This window comes from Homo sapiens, chromosome 14 (genome assembly GCF_000001405.40).
Source record: "Homo sapiens chromosome 14, GRCh38.p14 Primary Assembly".
Classification (NCBI taxonomy): Eukaryota; Metazoa; Chordata; class Mammalia; order Primates; family Hominidae; genus Homo; species Homo sapiens.
Window position 1 is genome coordinate 20,028,229 of NC_000014.9, and position 18,046 is coordinate 20,046,274.

Sequence of the window (18,046 nt, forward strand, 5' to 3'; positions counted from 1 at the left end):
TATACATTTTTAGTTCCTCCTGAAATTTGGAAGAATAACTTATACTTTTAGTGAAGTTAAAGACTTTGAATTTTGAATCTATGGTAGGCAATACATTTTAAACTATGAACAATTGTTTTGATATCCAGGTCATTTCTTGTTACTATCTGCCTTGCCACTTTCAGAAGAATTTAATTTCTAATGGTGACTTAATGGGTTGTGATGTCCACTGGAATTCTGAACTTGGCTGATGGGTTCCAGTGGAAGGAAATATCTCAAAGTAATGTTCAAATTTGCCTGTGAAAAAGGCTATTTTGGGTAATGGTGAGAGAGTTACCAGCTTGACCGCCTCTTTGGAAGCTGTAAGATTTAAGTCTGCCTTTAGCTTGCTCTTAGAAGACTGGAAAGACTCCAGCCCATTTTAGTAAATTTTCCATCTTCCTAACTCTTGGTTTCTTGTTTAAAGCAAAGCAAAAAAACACAGTATTCACTAGGTGGTAGCTAAGTTCCTTGTAAACTTTACTTGTTTCAGTTTTGGCTGGAAGTTGTAACTTTCAACTGCAGTTTCACTTTCTTAGATTTTATACCAATTAAAGATTTACATCTACCTGTTAGAAATGTTGACAATACCTCCACCAAAATTAATAAATTTGTCCATAGCAAATAAGCCAAGTGCAAAGTAAAGTTTTCATCATTCCAAATATATTTATTTTTGTTAAAAAAGTCAAATGTCAAATATTTACCATATTTAAAAAACATATTAAAATCAGGAATTATCCATGCTGGAGGACTGTCTCAGAACTTTTATGTCATATCTCCATATCATTTACTTTTCAGGAAAAAATATCAGAAGAAAATACTAAGTCCTAGACATGTCATAAGCTAAAATATGAAATAAGACATTAAAAGGTAATAGGAAAACATAGCATATGAGACATTATATAGTAGGCCCAAGAAAATCAACTAAAATTTGAATTAGAGAGTTTAGTATAGTGGCTAGTTACAAATAAAGAAACATATATATATATATGCATATACATATATATGATTATCAACATTTGAGAAATAACAAAAAATACAATTGAAAAATTACTTCATCAAAATTAAAATAAAATAATTCATAAGTTTTGTAACTTTCAGTATATAATGAAAAAAGTTATAAAACATTACTGAAGTCACAAAAGAAGACCCAAATAAGTTAAAAATTAAACCACGTTCTAGGATAGGAAAGTCAAATGTGGTCAATACCAATATATATTTATCCCTGAAACAATGTTTTGGTTAATGCAGTTATAAAGATATAGTGTTCATATTATTTGGTAAAATCACACTAGTTAACGTAAATGAAGAATCGAATGACACAAACGAAGATAGTTTGAGGAAGAATAGTAACGGGAGTACTTATATGGGTAGATATTAAAATGTAATATAGGCCAGGCACAGTGGCTCACAGTGCCTGTAATCCCAGCATTTTGGGAGCCTGAGGTGGGTGGACCACTTGAGGTCAGGAGTTCGAGACCAGCCTGGCCAATATGACAAAACTTTGTCTCTACCAAAAATACAAAAATTAGCCAGGAATGGTGGCACACACCTGCAATCCCAGCTACTTGGGAGGCTGAGGCAGGAGAATTGCTTGAACTGGGGAGGTGGAGGTTGCAGTGAGCCAAAATTGAGCCACTGCACTACAGCCTGGGTGACAGGGCAAGACTCCATCTCAAAAAAACAAATAAAATAAAATAATAAAATGTAATATAGATTTACATTAATTAAATCAGCTTGCTACTGAACTAATCTCAGAAGACATTGCGCCAAGTGAAAAAAGCCACCCTCAACAGGCTATTTGCTGTATGATTCTACCTATATGACAATCTTGAAAAAGCAAACTCTAAGAGCACAGTCAGATGGCTACTGTCAAGGACAGGAAATGGGAAGGAGGAGGTGACTACTGTGGGGGACAGGAGCATTTTTGGGTTGATGAAACTGTTCTATCTCTGAGATTTGATAATTATATAACTATGGGCATTTGTCAACAATCCAGCCAATTACCCTGAATTGTTCATTATACATTCTTTGCTTGCATCAAAACATCTCCAGTACCTCATAAATATGTGCAACTATTATATATTCATAATAATTAAAAATAAATTTTAAAAAATTAAAATAATAAAAAATAAATTGCTATAAAAGCTCACAAAACCATACACTAAAGAGTCATTTTTTCTATATGTAAACTGTACTTGAAAAATGAAACAAAAAGCTTAATATTTGTACTATGAATTGATTGTAGGGTTCTCTGAAGTGTCAATCTTCCCTTCTCCCTTGTGAGTCCTGAACAAATTCATAGGTAGAATTGTGAATAGGAAGAGACAAATATCAGTATTATTACTGGTAAAGTTGCACTGGACTTAAAACCCCAAGAGTCTTCCTACTACTTTCCCTTAATTTTAACCCTGGGATCCCCTTAAATAGAGAGTTTGCAGAACAAACATTTAGCTGGGCAGAGACAAGGATAATTCTAAAGTGCACATTCTGGCTAGGCACAGTGGCTCACGCCTGTAATCCCAGCACTTTGGGAGGCCAACGTGAGTGGATTACCTAATGTCAGGAGTTCGAGACTACCCTGGCCAACATGCCCAAACCCTGTCTCTACTAAAAATACAAAAATGAGCCAGGCGCAGTGGTGGGCGCCTGTAATCCCAGCTACTCAGGGGGCTGAGAGAGGAGAATCACTTGAACTCGGGAGGCGGAGGTTGCGGTGAGCAGAGATTGCGCCACTGCACTCCAGCCTGGGCAACAGAGTGATACTCCGTCTCAAATAAATAAATAAATAAAATAAATTACACATTCCTCCAAGAGCAGAGGACCCTGACAGGAAGACAGTTTGAGGTGTTAACAAATTTGCCCATGGAAAACAGGTGCTACCCCTTAACTGGGGTTTAGAACTGTGTGCCTCGGCTCCTCTGAAACAGCAATACTGTAAAACGCCGAGAACCTCATGCTCAGTCTCGTTTCCAAATTTCAGTCATCTATAAATCACATCACGTGCTTAGAAGGAGAGCAAGTGAATGGCAGGCAGAAGGAGGGCGGTGCCTCTACTGGCTGTCAGGGTGAGGGTTTCTGTATTATATGCTTGATAGTAGCTAGCATGTTGGGAGAGGGAAAAAATAACTCCTTCTAATAAAGACAGTTCACAAATTTCACATAACAAGGGGACAGGGTAGATTATTTTTCAAATAATACTGTTTTGAAAATTAGCTAAATTATTTGGGAAAAATATTGAGTAGTTAGTAGCTTTCTCTGGCATAAGAAATACATAATAGTAGTTGGTAGCTTTTTTCTTGACATAAGAAATACATAAATAACTTACAAATAATTTATATCACAAATTCGTGACAATTTGCTCAACAAATTGTCAGTCACATCAACCAATCAATAATAGCCTTTTAAAAACAAAACTCTAGATTATATTAAACCTATGGGTATTTTCATAGTATGTGTTCAGAAAAGAGCTATTTCTAGTTAGATATAATATAACCAGCTTAAAATATAACCAGCTGAAGTCTCCCCCGCCTCCCCCCACCCCGAGCCCCCAACACACCCACCCATGCCCACCTCCCCGCTCAGAGGCTGAAAACAAGTGCAGCAAGGTGTGGTAAAAGGAAAGCAATTTTATTCAAATGCAAGCAGGTGGGGGATGGCCAGGCTCATGCCTTTAACAGACCATTCCCCGTTTGGGGGCTAAGTAAAGGAGTTTAAGACGGAAAAGATATGGGAAATATGTGGGAATAGTGCAGGAACGTGCAGGTCTGCGTGTTTTGTTCTGAAGGTTATCTTGAGTGATGGTCTGTCCTGAGGCCTGATTTGCCTTTTCCTGACTTTGGCCTGGTAGTGGTGGGTTAACTGTAAGTAATTCCCCTCTCAAGGGAGGATTCTGCAGCCAGGTTTCCCTGCCTTGTTTGTTTCAAAATCGGCCCCTAGGATTTCTAAGCAAGTCCTTAATTAGATAAGAAACACTGTGTATGAATGTACCTGGTGGGAAAGGGAGACAAAGTCTTACAACACAAGGCTACATTCTGAGATTCAGAAAGAAAGAAAAAAAAAGTTTGAAAATGCATTTTGAGGCTGGGATCCTTGGTCACAATAATTCAACTTGTACACAAAATGTTTTCTCCATAAAATTGGTTGCTCAGTATGAAACAACTAAGGCTGATGTGACTGTGCCCTTTATGTAACAAATGATCTAAAAAATAACATGTTAGAGACCTAGTACTCAATGTTTTATCTTCTGTCTCTGGAATGGCTTTTCTGGATACTAGGTATAATATATCCAATAAAAGGCATAAAGTTCTTTTTGGATTTATGCTGAAGTTGAAAGACAGTAGACATCTTCTCCCATACCCAGTTGCCTTAAATTTGCTTTAGCCTTCAAGTCAGTTACAGGCCTAGTTGCCTAGATTGCAAAGAGAAATATGAACAGAGCTAAGAAGGGGGAGATAAACTTGGAATAGAAGCAGTACAATGTACAAGTTGGGACAGGAATGGTCTATGCTTACTTTTTTTCCTTCCTGTCTCTCTTTTAAATTTCAGCATGACACAGTTTTGAATTCCAAAGAGTGTCCTATATTTTCTATTATATGATCAGACTACATTTGACCTACCTCTCTATCTCATCTCTCAACATCATAGCCCATGACCCAGCTCAATGAAATTATGTATAGGTTCTCCACTGTGTCATGCTTCTATGCATTCTCAACATACTATTTCTTTCTCGTGGAATGTCTTTCTTTTCCATCTAGCTGATGCTAACTATAAGTGGAAACCTTCCTGCCCTGCCCTGATTGAGATGCCATTCCTGCACTCTCAAAGCACCCTGTCCATCATGTAACAGTGCTGTTCGTGCCATGGAACAACTGCCAATTTAGTTTGCTCGATCTATCCATAGGCTGTAAGTTCCTTGAAGGCCTGGCTATATCTTCTGGCATTCTGTAGGCTCACAAAATATGTGAAGAATGGTGAACACACTGTGTTTATGGAAAACAACTTAGTATAATTTAATACACACTAATCAGGGATTACCCAGAACATGCAGTTTTCTAGCCTGTAAGGCACTTGGATAAATAACCGTGATGAGATGTCATCTGTGTGCTTTCTCTAAACATAGATTACCAATAACAACAACAAAAAACCTAACAATAATAATGTGTTTTCTGAGGTTTAAGAGCATGCTAAAATAATAATGAAAGATGCATATAAACAAGGTTGTATAGACGAAAAAACTAAATCACAGGGAACTTATTTATTTTCTTCAAATTTGCACCAGAGAAACTGATAAAGGTGGGATTTAAATGTATACAAGCCAAACTGTAGATATTATGTGTTTGACCATAAAAGATCACAAAAAGGTGTTTGCTTTTTAACAATTACATCTACTATTTCCTCATATGGAACTTGAACTGTTAGCTGGTACACAAGTTATAGTGGTTTTTGCCATTACTTTAATTTTGTCATTTACTTTAATGGCAAAAACCGCAATGACTTTTGCACGAACCTGATACATTAAAAACGAGTTTCTTAAATGTTCAAACAAACAAGAGAGTGTCTCTTCAAAAGTCTCATCTAAAAAGTATGCTTTAAATTTATATGCAGAGTCTTTTTTTAATGGCTGCTTTTACCTCTTGATTTCTTAATGTATAAATAATAGGATTTAAGAGAGGTGTGAAAATTGTGTAAAACACAGAAAGAATTTTATCTACCGAGTATCTGCTGAAGGGCCAGACGTAGATAAAGACACACGGAGCAAAGAACAGAGTCACAACTGTGATGTGAGCTGAGAGAGTGGAGAAAGCCTTAGAGGATCGACTAGCAGCACGGTACCTAACTGAGAATATTATGACTCCATAGGAGACAAGCAAGAGGAGGAAGCAGACCAGTGACAGGAGCCCACTGTCAGCAATGACCAGGAGCTGTAGGATGTAGGTGTCCTTGCAGGCAAGTTTAATCACAAGGGGAAGGTCACAGAAAAAGCTGTCTATAACATTGGGACCACAGAAGGGCAAAGTCAACATGAAAGCCATTTGACTAGATGAGTGCACAAATCCAACTGCATAGGAGGATAACAGTAGCCCAGTGAGCACCCGTGGGCTCATGATGGTCATGTAATGGAGGGGTTTGCATATGGCAACATACCTGTCTATTGCCATGGCTACAAGCAACATCATCTCACTCCCACCCAGGAGGTGCATAAAGAACATCTGGGAATAACATCCCCACCATGAGATGGTCTTACGTTCTCGGAGGAAATCTACAATCATCTTAGGGGTAGCAAAAGAAGCCAGGATCATATCAATGCAGGAGAGGTTGCTAAGCAGAAAATACATTGGTGTGTGAAGGAGCGAATCAAAGGTCACAGTCACCAAGATGAGCAGGTTTCCTAACACAATCCCCACGAAGACCACAGAGAATCCCAAGAAGAATAAAATCTGAAGATTTTGAGATTTGGAAAGTCCCAACAAAATAAATTCCGATACCACTGAATGGTTTGCTCTTTCCATATCGTCAACTTTATCCCATAATGATCAAAATAAGTGAGAATAAGGGGTAGGGAAATGATGCATATTGGAAAGAAATGTTCATGTTGATGTCCACATTTGGTACTCAGTCAAGGCACTTGAACTTACAAGGACCCTTACTTTTGTGGAATTTTGTCAGTCAGTGATTTTACTAATGGCCCAGAGAAGTATCCCAAATAGTCAGTAGAATTCAGAATATAAGTTTCTGGAAGACAAAAATAAAAACATTAATAGTACATGAAACCACAAAACTATAGGTCATGAATTAGAATCAGAAGACCTCTACAGGACACCTGGGTAAGCTGCTCACTGGGTGACACAGGACAAGTAACTCTCCTTTTGAGGGTTTTCTTCTCAGTGAAAAAAAGAATTTGGACTATATGGTATCGAATGCCTCTTTCTGCTATAAAGATCTCTATGAATAAGATAATGATTCTGGTGAGTTTTATAGTCACAGAATAATATTGAGTTTTATTAATGTGGAAAGGATATCAAAAATACATCCAGGATTCTCAAGAACCATGTTTTGAAATGGACTCTGGTAAAGAAATATGAATTAGGTCCTGAGAAACTTACCTTATTTCCTCCATGCTCCATTCTTGCATGAATCCCTCACAGATCAGTATTAGCAGTAGTCACTACACACTTTTGAAGTGTCAAGTATATGTATAGTATATATATATTAAACATGTATATTACATACATTTCATATATTTATATATATTTATATAATTCGTTCATTCAACATTTCATATTATTCACATCAAATACCTCCTCTAGATGGTTAGACAATGTGTACAAACAACCCACAGTCAAATGTAATTGACTAATTTCACTTTCAGCTTGCATTCATTTATTCATTTACCTGGTTATTGCTATGTAGTGGTTAGCTGGTTGGCCTGTGTATGGTTGTCATAGGTTTCAAAATGACTTAGCTTGATGTAACATTTATGTTGGTAAAAGAAATACAGTTCTTTCAGTATAATCTAAATTTATGACAAAATTTGTCATCGGCTCATGCTTATTACAAACTGGTTCTATTGGTTCAGCTTTTAAAAAAATTGCCTCCGTTGCTAATAGTTTTAAATTAATCTAGGTCTTACAAAACACCTTCAGTAAATAAAGTATTTGTAGTCATCTTTTTGTGCTGTTATTACTTACAAGACAGGGGAAAAAAACTTTCGTGATGGCGTCGTACGTGAATCCCAGGAATGGCCTTTTATCTCCTTTTCCTGTATCCCCATCAGTTATCTGCAATTTACTCTTCCAATCATCAGAAACAGAAAAAATAGAGACCATAGTGCTATATGTTTCTATGAGATAATCCCATAGGAACACTTATCCAACTAGGGATGTATTTTTTTCCCTATGTAAACATATCTGTTGGCCAATTTCCCACTCTGAGAAACTTTGATGCAAAATATTAAATTTCATCAAATATGTAATTAGAGCCATTCATTTATATGTCTATAAAGGTAATAGCTCTCTTCAGTTTTATGACTAATATTTAAGAATTCCTACTAATGCTTCTTTTTGAAACCCAATTTTTGAAGCTGCATTTAAACAGAAGAGAACAATTTTCAAATACATACAAAGAAGTTTATAAATCCTCCACATCTGGAATAGTGCATATCAAAAACACTAAGTGAATATCTGTTGAATGAATAAACTATGTAGTGCATATTCAGGATCTAGATTAAGTCAGCTGACTTAATCCACAGAAAAATCCACAACATTAGGAATTTTAACAATATTTATTTTTAAATGTCAAATTGAATGTTGAAGTATTTTAAAATCAGAAATAGAACAGCCATTCTTAAAAAGCTGGTTAAAATATGTTTTTTTCTTTTAATTATCTTTTAAAAAAAAAGGTAGTTTATGCCAATGTGAAAAAAGCACATCACAGATAACAGAAAGACTGACTGAACATTTTAAGAGCTTCTTAGATAACTTTCCAGAAAAATAATACACACTTCAGTACAGTGTGTGTGTGTTAGTGTTACAGGTATTTATATTTATATCATTTTATTAAGACTGCAGATTATATATTATATGTATAGCTATTTTTCTTGAGTTTTTAACTTATTACATTTAAATATGTTTATATTAACATATAGAAACATAACTTTTTAATAGGTGTATAGAATTCCACTTTGTAGATGTTGCATAATGTAATCTCCCCACAAATACAGTTTATTCTTAGAATGAATTTAACATTACCTATAAAAATTATTTTTCATCATATCACTCTCTTCTTTATAAACCTGTGATAACTACCTTATCAATCCCTAACTTCTCCTGGATATTCATAATCAACTCCTCACCCACCCTAAAAATCCAATATTATTTTCTTTTTTTTTCTTTTTTTTTTTTTAATTATTATACTTTAAGATTTAGGGTACATGTGCACAATGTGCAGGTTAGTTACATATGTATACAAGTGCCCTGCTGGTGTGCTGTACCCACTAACTCGTCATCTAGCATTAGGTATCTCTCCCAATGCTATCCCTCCCCCCTTCCCCCACCCCACAACAGTCCCCAGAGTGTGACATTCCCCTTCCTGTGTCCATGTGTTCTCATTGTTCAATTCCCACCTATGAGTGAGAATATGCGGTGTTTGGTTTTTTGTTCTTGCGATAATTTACTGAGAATGATGATTTCCAATTTCATCCATGTCCCTACAAAGGACATGAACTCATCATTTTTTATGGCTGCATAGTATTCCATGGTGTATATGTGCCACATTTTCTTAATCCAGTCTATCATTGTTGGACATTTGGGTTGGTTCCAAGTCTTTGCTATTGTGAATAATGCCGCAATAAACATACGTGTGCATGTGTCTTTCTAGTAGCATGATTTATAGTCCTTTGGGTATAAACCCAGTAATGGGATGGCTGGGTCAAATGGTATTTCTAGTTCTAGATCCCTGAGGAATCGCCACACTGACTTCCACAATGGTTGAACTAGTTTACAGTCCCACCAACAGTGTAAAAGTATTCCTATTTCTCCAGATCCTCTCCAGCACCTGTTGTTTCCTGATTTTTTAATGATTGCCATTCTAACTGGTGTGAGGTGATATCTCATTGTGGTTTTGATTTGCATTTGTCTGATGGCCAGAGATGGTGAGCATTTTTTCATGTGTTTTTTGGCTGCATAAATGTCTTCTTTTGAGAAGTGTCTGTTCGTGTCCTTTGCCCACTTTTTGATGGGGTTTCTTGTTTTTTTCTTGTAAATTTGTTTGAGATCATTGTAGATTCTGGATATTAGCCCTTTGTCAGATGAGTAGGTTGTGAAAATTTTCTCCCATTCTGTGGGTTGCCTGTTCACTCTGATGGTAGTTTCTTTTGCTGTGCAGAAGCTCTTTAGTTTAATTAGATCCCATTTGTCAATTTTGGCTTTTGTTGCCATTGCTTTTGGTGTTTTAGACATGAAGTCCTTACCCATGCCTATGTCCTGAATGGTGATGCCTAGGTTTTCTTCTAGGGTTTTTTATGGTTTTAGGTCTAACGTTTAAGTCTTTAATCCATCTTGAATTAATTTTTGTATAAGGTGTAAGGAAGGGATCCAGTTTCAGCTTTCTCCATATGGCTAGCCAGTTTTCCCAGCACCATTTATTAAATAGGGAATCCTTTCCCCATTGCTTGTTTTTCTCAGGTTTGTCAAAGATCAGATAGTTGTAGATATGCGGCGTTATTTCTGAGGGCTCTGTTCTGCTCCATTGATCTATATCTCTGTTTTGGTACCAGTACCATGCTGTTTTGGTTACTGTAGCCTTGTAGTATAGTTTGAAGTCAGGTAGCATGATGCCTCCAACTTTGTTCTTTTGGCTTAGGATTGACTTGGCGATGCGGGCTCTTTTTTCGTTCCATACGAACTTTAAAGTAGTTTTTTCCAATTCTGTGAAGAAAGTCATTGGTAGCTTGATGGGGATGGCATTGAATTTATACATTACCTTGGGCAGTATGGCCATTTTCATGATATTGATTCTTCCTACCCATGAGCATGGAATGTTCTTCCATTTCTTTATATCCTCTTTTATTTCACTGAGCAGTGGTTTGTAGTTTTCCTTGAAGAGGTCCTTCACGTCCCTTGTAAGGTGGATTCCTAGGTATTTTATTCTCTTTGAAGCAATTGTAAATGGGAGTTCACTCATGATTTGGCTCTCTGTTTGACTGTTGTTGGTGTATGAGAATGCTTGTGAGTTTTGTACATTGATTTTGTATCCTGAGACTTTGCTGAAGTTGCTTATCAGCTTAAGGAGATTTTGGGCTGAGACAATGGGGTTTTCTAGATATACAATCATGTCATCTGCAAACAGGGACAATTTGACTTCCTCTTTTCCTAATTGAATACCCTCTATTTCCTTCTCCTGCCTAATTGCCCTGGCCAGAACTTCCAACACTATGTTGAATAAGAGTGGTGAGAGAGGGCATCCCTGTCTTGTGCCAGTTTTCAAAGGGAATGCTTCCAGTTTTTGCCCATTCAGTATGATATTGGCTGTGGGTTTGTCATAGATAGCTCTTATTATTTTGAAATACGTCACATCAATACCTAATTTATTGAGAGTTTTTAGCATGAAAGGTTGTTGAATTTTGTCAAAGGCCTTTTCTGCATCTATTGAGATAATTATGTGGTTTTTGTCTTTGGTTCTGTTTATATGCTGGATTACATTTATTGATTTGCATATATTGAACCAGCCTTGCATCCCAGGGATGAAGCCCACTTGATCATGGTGGATAAGCTTTTTGATATGCTGCTGGATTCGGTTTGCCAGTATTTTATTGAGGATTTTTGCATCGATGTTCATCAAGGATATTGGTCTAAAATTCTCTTTTTTTGTTGTGTCTCTGCCTGGCTTTGGTATCAGGATGATGCTGGCCTCATAAAATGAGTTAGGGAGGATTCCTTCTTTTTCTATTGATTGGAATAGTTTCAGAAGGAATGGTACCAGTTCGCCCTTGTACCTCTGGTAGAATTTGGGTGTGAATCCATCTGGTCCTGGACTCTTTTTGGTTGGTAAGCTATTGATTATTGCCACAATTTCAGCTCCTGTTATTGGTCTATGCAGAGATTCAACTTCTTCCTGGTTTAGTCTTGGGAGAGTGTATGTGTCGAGGAATTTATCCATTTCTTCTGGATTTTCTAGCTTATTTGCGTAGAGGTGTTTGTAGGATTCTCTGATGGTAGTTTGTATTTCTGTGGGATCCGTGGTGATATCCCCTTTATCATTTTTTATTGCGTCTATTTGATTCTTCTCTCTTTTTTCTGTATTAGTCTTGCTAGCAGTCTATCAATTTTGTTGATCCTTTCAAAAAACCAGCTCCTGGATTCATTAATTTTTTGAAGGGTTTTTTGTGTCTCTATTCCCTTCAGTTCTGCTCTGATTTTAGTTATTTCTTGCCTTCTGCTAGCTTTTGAATGTGTTTGCTCTTGCTTTTCTAGTTCTTTTAATTGTGATGTTAGGGTGTCAATTTTGGATTTTTCCTGCTTTCTCTTGTGGGCATTTAGTGCTATAAATTTCCATCTACACACTGCTTTGAATGCATCCCAGAGATTCTGGTATGTTGTGTCTTTGTTCTCATTGGTTTCAAAGAACATCTTTATTTCTGCATTCATTTCGTTATATACCCAGTAGTCATTCAGGAGCAGGTTGTTCAGTTTCCATGTAGTTGAGTGGTTTTGAGTGAGTTTCTTAATCCTGAGTTCTAGTTTGATTGCACTGTGGTCTGAGAGATAGTTTGTGATAATTTCTGTTCTTTTACATTTGCTGAGGAGAGCTTTACTTCCAAGTATGTGGTCAATTTTGGAATAGGTGTGGTGTGGTGCTGAAAGAAATGTATATTCTGTTGATTTGGTGTGGAGAGTTCTGTAGATGTCTATTAGGTCTGCTTGGTGCAGAGCTGAGTTCAATTCCTGGGTATCCTTGTTAACTTTCTGTCTCGTTGATCTGTCTAATGTTGACTGTGGGGTGTTAAAGTCTCCCATTATTAATGTGTTAGAGTCTAAGTCTCTTTGTATGTCACTAAGGACTTGCTTTATGAATCTGGGGGTTCCTGTATTGGGTGCATATATATTTAGGATAGTTACCTCTTCTTGTTGAATTGATCCCTTTACCATTATGTAATGGCCTTCTTTGTCTCTTTTGATCTGTGTTGGTTTAAAGTCTGTTTTATCAGAGACTAGGATTGCAACCCCTGCCTTTTTTTGTTTTCCATTTGCTTGGTAGATCTTCCTCCATCCTTTTATTTTGAGCCTATGTGTGTCTCTGCACGTGAGATGGGTTTCCTGAATACAGCACACTGATGGGTCTTGACTCTTTATCCAATTTGCCAGTCTGTGTCTTTTAATTGGAGCATTTAGTCCATTTACATTTAAAGTTAATATTGTTATGTGTGAATTTGATCCTGTCATTATGATGTTAGCTGGTTATTTTGCTCATTAGTTGATGCAGTTTCTTCCTAGTCTCAATGGTCTTTACATTTTGGCATGATTTTGCAGCAGCTGGTACCAGTTTTTCCTTTCCATGTTTAGTGCTTCCTTCAGGAGCTCTTTTAGGGCAGGCCTGGTGGTGAAAAAAATCTCTCAGCATTCGCTTGTCTATAAAGTATTTTATTTCTCCTTCACTTATGAAGCTTAGTTTGGCTAGATATGAAATTCTGGATTGAAAATTCTTTTCTTTAAGAATGTTGAATATTGGCCCCCACTCTCTTCTGGCTTGTAGAGTTTCTGCCGAGAGATCTGCTGTTAGTCTGATGGGCTTCCCTTTGTGGGTAACCCAACCTTTCTCTCTGGCTGCCCTTAACATTTTTTCCTTCATTTCAACTTTGATGAATCTGACAATTATGTGTCTTGGAGTTGCTCTTCTCGAGGAGTATCTTTGTGGCGTTCTCTGTATTTCCTGAATCTGAACGTTGGCCTGCCTTGCTAGATTTGGGAAGTTCTCTTGGACAATATCCTGCAGAGTGTTTTCAACTTGGTTCCATTCTCCCCATCACTTTCAGGTACACCAATCAGACGTAGATTTGGTCTTTTTACATAGTCCCATATTTCTTGGAGGCTTTGTTTGTTTCTTTCTATTCTTTTTTCTCTAAACTTGTCTTCTCGCTTCATTTCATTCATTTGATCTTCAATCACTGACACCCTTTCTTCCAGTTGATCGAATCAGCTACTGATTCCTCAGGGATCTAGAACTAGAAATACCATTTGACCCAGCCATCTCATTACTGGGTATATACCCAAAGGACTATAAATCATGCTGCTATAAAGCCACATGCACAGGTATGTTTATTGTGGCACTATTCAGAATAGCAAAGACTTTGAACCAACCCAAATGTCCAACAATGATAGACTGGATTAAGAAAATGTGGCACATATACACCATGGAATACTATGCAGCCATAAAAATGATGAGTTCATGTCCTTTGTAGGGACATGGATGAAATTGGAAATCATCACTCTCAGTAAACTATCACAAGGACAAAAAACCAAACACCGCATGTTCTCACTCATAGGCGGTAATTGAACAATGAGAACATATGGACACAGGAAGGGGAACATCACACTCCGGGGACTGTTGTGGGGTGGGGGAAGGGGGGAGGGATAGCATTAGGAGATATACCTAATGCTAAATGACGAGTTAGTGGGTGCAGCACACCAGCATGGCACATATGTACATATGTAACTAACCTGCACATTGTGCACGTGTACCCTAAAACTTAAAGTATAATAATAATAAAATTAAAAAAAACATATTTAAATCTACTTTGTGTCTTTTCTATTAGTAAGGTCTCTTTGGCAGGGCACTGTGGCTGACACCTATAATCCCAACACTTTCAGAGGCCAAGCTGGGAGGCTGTCTTGAAGCCGGAAGTTCAAAACAAGCCTTGGAAACAAAATGAGACATCTTGTCTTGATATAAAAAAAAAAAATTAGCCAAAGTGGTGGCGTGCACCTTAGTCCCAGCTACTCTGGAGGCTGAGGTGGGAGGATTGCTTGAGCCGAGGATTCCAAGGCTGTGGTGAGCTATGATCACACCACTGTACTTCAGCCTGGGTGAGACAGCGAGACTCTGTCTCAAATAAATAAATAAAAATAAGGTTTCCAGTCAGATATAAACTATTTCATCTTTTTCTGGTTATTTTAGCTCTCATTTAAAAAATACTGTATTATTATGTCTTAGCTAGCTTCTTTCAAAATTTTTGGCTACCATTATTTATATTTCAATGGGTATCGTTTCACATGGGTCTGCTTCACCTATCTAGAACAACATGGAGGTGTTCCCTGTCAATCACTTTTTTTTTAAACCAGAGTTCTGCACTTTATAATATCGTTATAAATGGTATGGATAGTTTAAGAGATCTGTTTGGACATTAAGCTGCTTGTCAGAGAAAGTAAGTGAGGCAGAGGGAAGCCAGCAATAAATGTTCATTATGCTATCTCTGAGCACTATACTCCCCAATCTACTAATTCACGTGCTCCATGGGAGGAAACTCAAATACTGGACCCTTCTTTCAATCTCAGGAAAATTGAGGCCACCTCAAGTTGCACAACCATAGATTCACATGTATCAAGGATTCATTCTGTTTATCATCTCTGCTTATCTTACTTTCAGCAGCAACTACAGAAGTGACTCCTAGTATGTTCATGTTCCATATTCCATCTTATCAATTTCATTTTTCTTGATCCTTCTCAATTAAAAAACCATTTGCCTCCTCTTTCACTTGCATGTTCCTCATGATTTTTGAGTGTAGAAAGAGATTTGAAGAGGGACAGGCCCTCTTCTTTGCCTATGGAGGACCAATAAATCTGTTCCTCCAATTCTGAAGAGGTGGCAGGAAACTTCCATACCTCCTTACCAACTGGGTTATTCACCTTTCTCAAGATTGATGTAGATATGAGTTACATATTGATGGCTTCAAATTTATTCAAACATATTGGCAGTTATTCATAATTTTTGCTGAGAAATTATGTCTACTCTTTTTTTAATATTGGATTCATTTTTCTTCAATACTTTTGATTCTTTTTGCACATTTCAGTGAATTTTAGAAGCAGTGTTAAGTGCATATGTATTTCATTTCTCATATCTCTCAGAATTTAATTTTTATTTTGTTTTAGGTCATATATGCCAACAGACAAACAAATGGAAAAACAAAATCAGTCCATGGTGCCTGAATTTATTTTGTTGGGATTCAAAAATCTCATGAGCTACAGATTTTCTTTATCTTATTTTTCCATTCTCTACATATCCATAATTAAGTAACCTAATCATTATCTTTGTAGTGAAACTGGATCCTCAATTGCATTCTCCCATGTACTTCCTACTGGCCAACCTGTCATCTACTGATATGCCCCTGGCCTCCTTTGCTACTCCTAAGAAAATCGATAATGTAATTAGTGAATATAGGACCATCTCCTATGAAGGCTGCATGACATAGAGATTTTTCCTTCACTTTTTAAGTGGAAGTGAGATGGTTTTACTCTTAGCCATGGCAATCGATAGATAATTTGCCATATGCAAACCCCTCCATTACAAGTCCATTGCATCGGACTTGCTCCTCGCTCCTGGACTATGGATTTCATGCACACCATGAGCCAAATTGTTCTCACAGTGACTTTGCCATTCTGTGGTCTCAGTGTTGTGGATATTTTTGTGTGTGTGTGATCTGCCTTGTGATAAAACTTGCCTGTACAGACACTTACATCTTGGAGCTATGAGTCATTGCAGACAGTGGACTACTTTCTTTGCTGTGTTTCATGTTTCTGTTAATCTCCTATAGCACCGTCCTGATTATTATTTGACATCATTCCTCCAGGGGGTCTTCCAAAACTCTGTCCACGCTTTCAGCCCACATTATGGTGGTGGTACTGTTCTTTGGAGCTTGCATCTTTACCTGTGAAAGACCATTCAGCACTGTCTCCATTGATGTCTGTGTTTTAAACTATTTTTGCTCCCCTTTTAAATCCAATCATCTACACATTCAGGAATAACGACATGAAGAAAGCATTAAGAAAAATGAAGATTAACTTTGTGAGTTCTAGATCAACTTGATAACTAAAATATTATAATCACTAAAAGCATCATCATTATTGTTGTCATCATCATGATCCAAAGACACTGAAGTGGAGGATTTTTGTACCAAACGTAAGCCATATTTTGGGATATAATAATCGATCCCCATGTAAGTGTACATGTAATATAATATTCTGATTTTTCCTCCAAGTACAAACTATTCCAATATGTTATTTGCTTATGTTGTAATTTTATGTTGCCTATTGATTAAATTATATTTTTAAATGTAATTTATTGAGTGCTATTCATGTATGAGGCACTTTCCATAAATTTTCTCCTATTTCACAACAAGGAAAATAGAGAATATTATTTACATATTATCAATAGGTAACAAAACTGAGCATTATAAAACGTAATGAAATTGCCACAGAAATATAAGTACTAGATCCAGTATCATATCCTATACCTAACTATAAAATCTATGTTTTTCTAACTAAAAATGCTTTCCTATCTACATTTTAATAACATAATTTTTTTGTTTTCTGAACACTTCTTTACAGATCATAGTCCTCAATAAATAAATCTTTGCAAAAAGAAAATATGTGGTATTTTATTAACCTGAAAGTAAATACTGTCACTAATACCAAGACATTTGAATCTTCTTCCCCTCCAGTTTTTTTTTTTTCTGTTTGTGTGTGTTTGCTCATTTGTTTTGAGACAGGGTCTCGCTCTGTCACCCAGGCTAGAGTGCGGTGCCCCTATATCAGCTCACTCCAGCCTCTGCCTCCCAGGTTCAAGTGATTCTCCAACTTCAGCCTCCCAAGTAGCTGAGACTACAGGCACGAGCCACCAATGCCCAGCTAATTTTTGTATTTCTTGTAGAGATGGGGTTTCACCATGCTGCCCAGGCTGGTCCTGAACTCCTGAGCTCAAAGCAATCCTCTTGCCTTGGCATCCCAAAGTGCTGGGATTACAGGCATGACCTACCACACCCATCCCAGACATTTAAGTATTCTTTCACCTCTAATTAAAAAGAGAAGAGCTTATTAAACCAGCCAAGTTGACTCACTCCAATTATCAATGCATACTAGAATTGCTGTTGTACAGTTGGGTAGGGAAGCCCATGTCTGAAACCCAAGTGATTTGCTGTTGTACCTCATATTATTTGCATATCAAGTAGTAAAAATAAGTGAACATTACATCACCTAGGAAAAATAAAATTTTTATTCATTCCACCACGTAAAGAATCACCATCACTGGAGATCTGAATGCATACAAAGAGGAATAAAATAGGCAGTAAAAGAAGGTAGCCGTGAACATTAATTGTCTCACAATTTGTTAGTAAAATGATGATTTTAGAAGCTACAAATTTTTTATATAAATTGCATTTGTTCACAAATTCCTGGTTCCTTTTTTCCTTTTTATTTTTTCTTATCAAGGAGACTAATTTACAATTTAGTCTCTAGGTTACAGAATATTAATGTGGGAT

At 36.9% G+C, this 18,046-nt stretch overlaps 1 protein-coding gene and 1 pseudogene across 2 annotated transcripts; one reads left to right on the forward strand and one right to left on the reverse strand.

Moving 5' to 3' along the window:
- Positions 1 to 1,170: 1,170 nt before the first annotated feature.
- Positions 1,171 to 7,810, reverse strand: OR4K13 (olfactory receptor family 4 subfamily K member 13). 2 transcript variants are annotated; one of them, NM_001004714.2, is made up of 2 exons: positions 7,710 to 7,810; positions 1,171 to 6,753 (listed from the first exon to the last, which is right to left on the reverse strand). In NM_001004714.2, the coding sequence occupies exon 2, from the start codon at positions 6,528 to 6,530 to the stop codon at positions 5,616 to 5,618; it is 915 nt and encodes a 304-aa protein (NP_001004714.1). In that variant the 5' UTR covers positions 6,531 to 6,753; positions 7,710 to 7,810; the 3' UTR covers positions 1,171 to 5,615. The 2 variants fall into 2 exon arrangements, with proteins under 2 accessions (NP_001004714.1, NP_001372958.1); NM_001386029.1 differs by having other exon boundaries at positions 7,414 to 7,810.
- Positions 15,688 to 16,627, forward strand: OR4U1P (olfactory receptor family 4 subfamily U member 1 pseudogene; annotated as a pseudogene).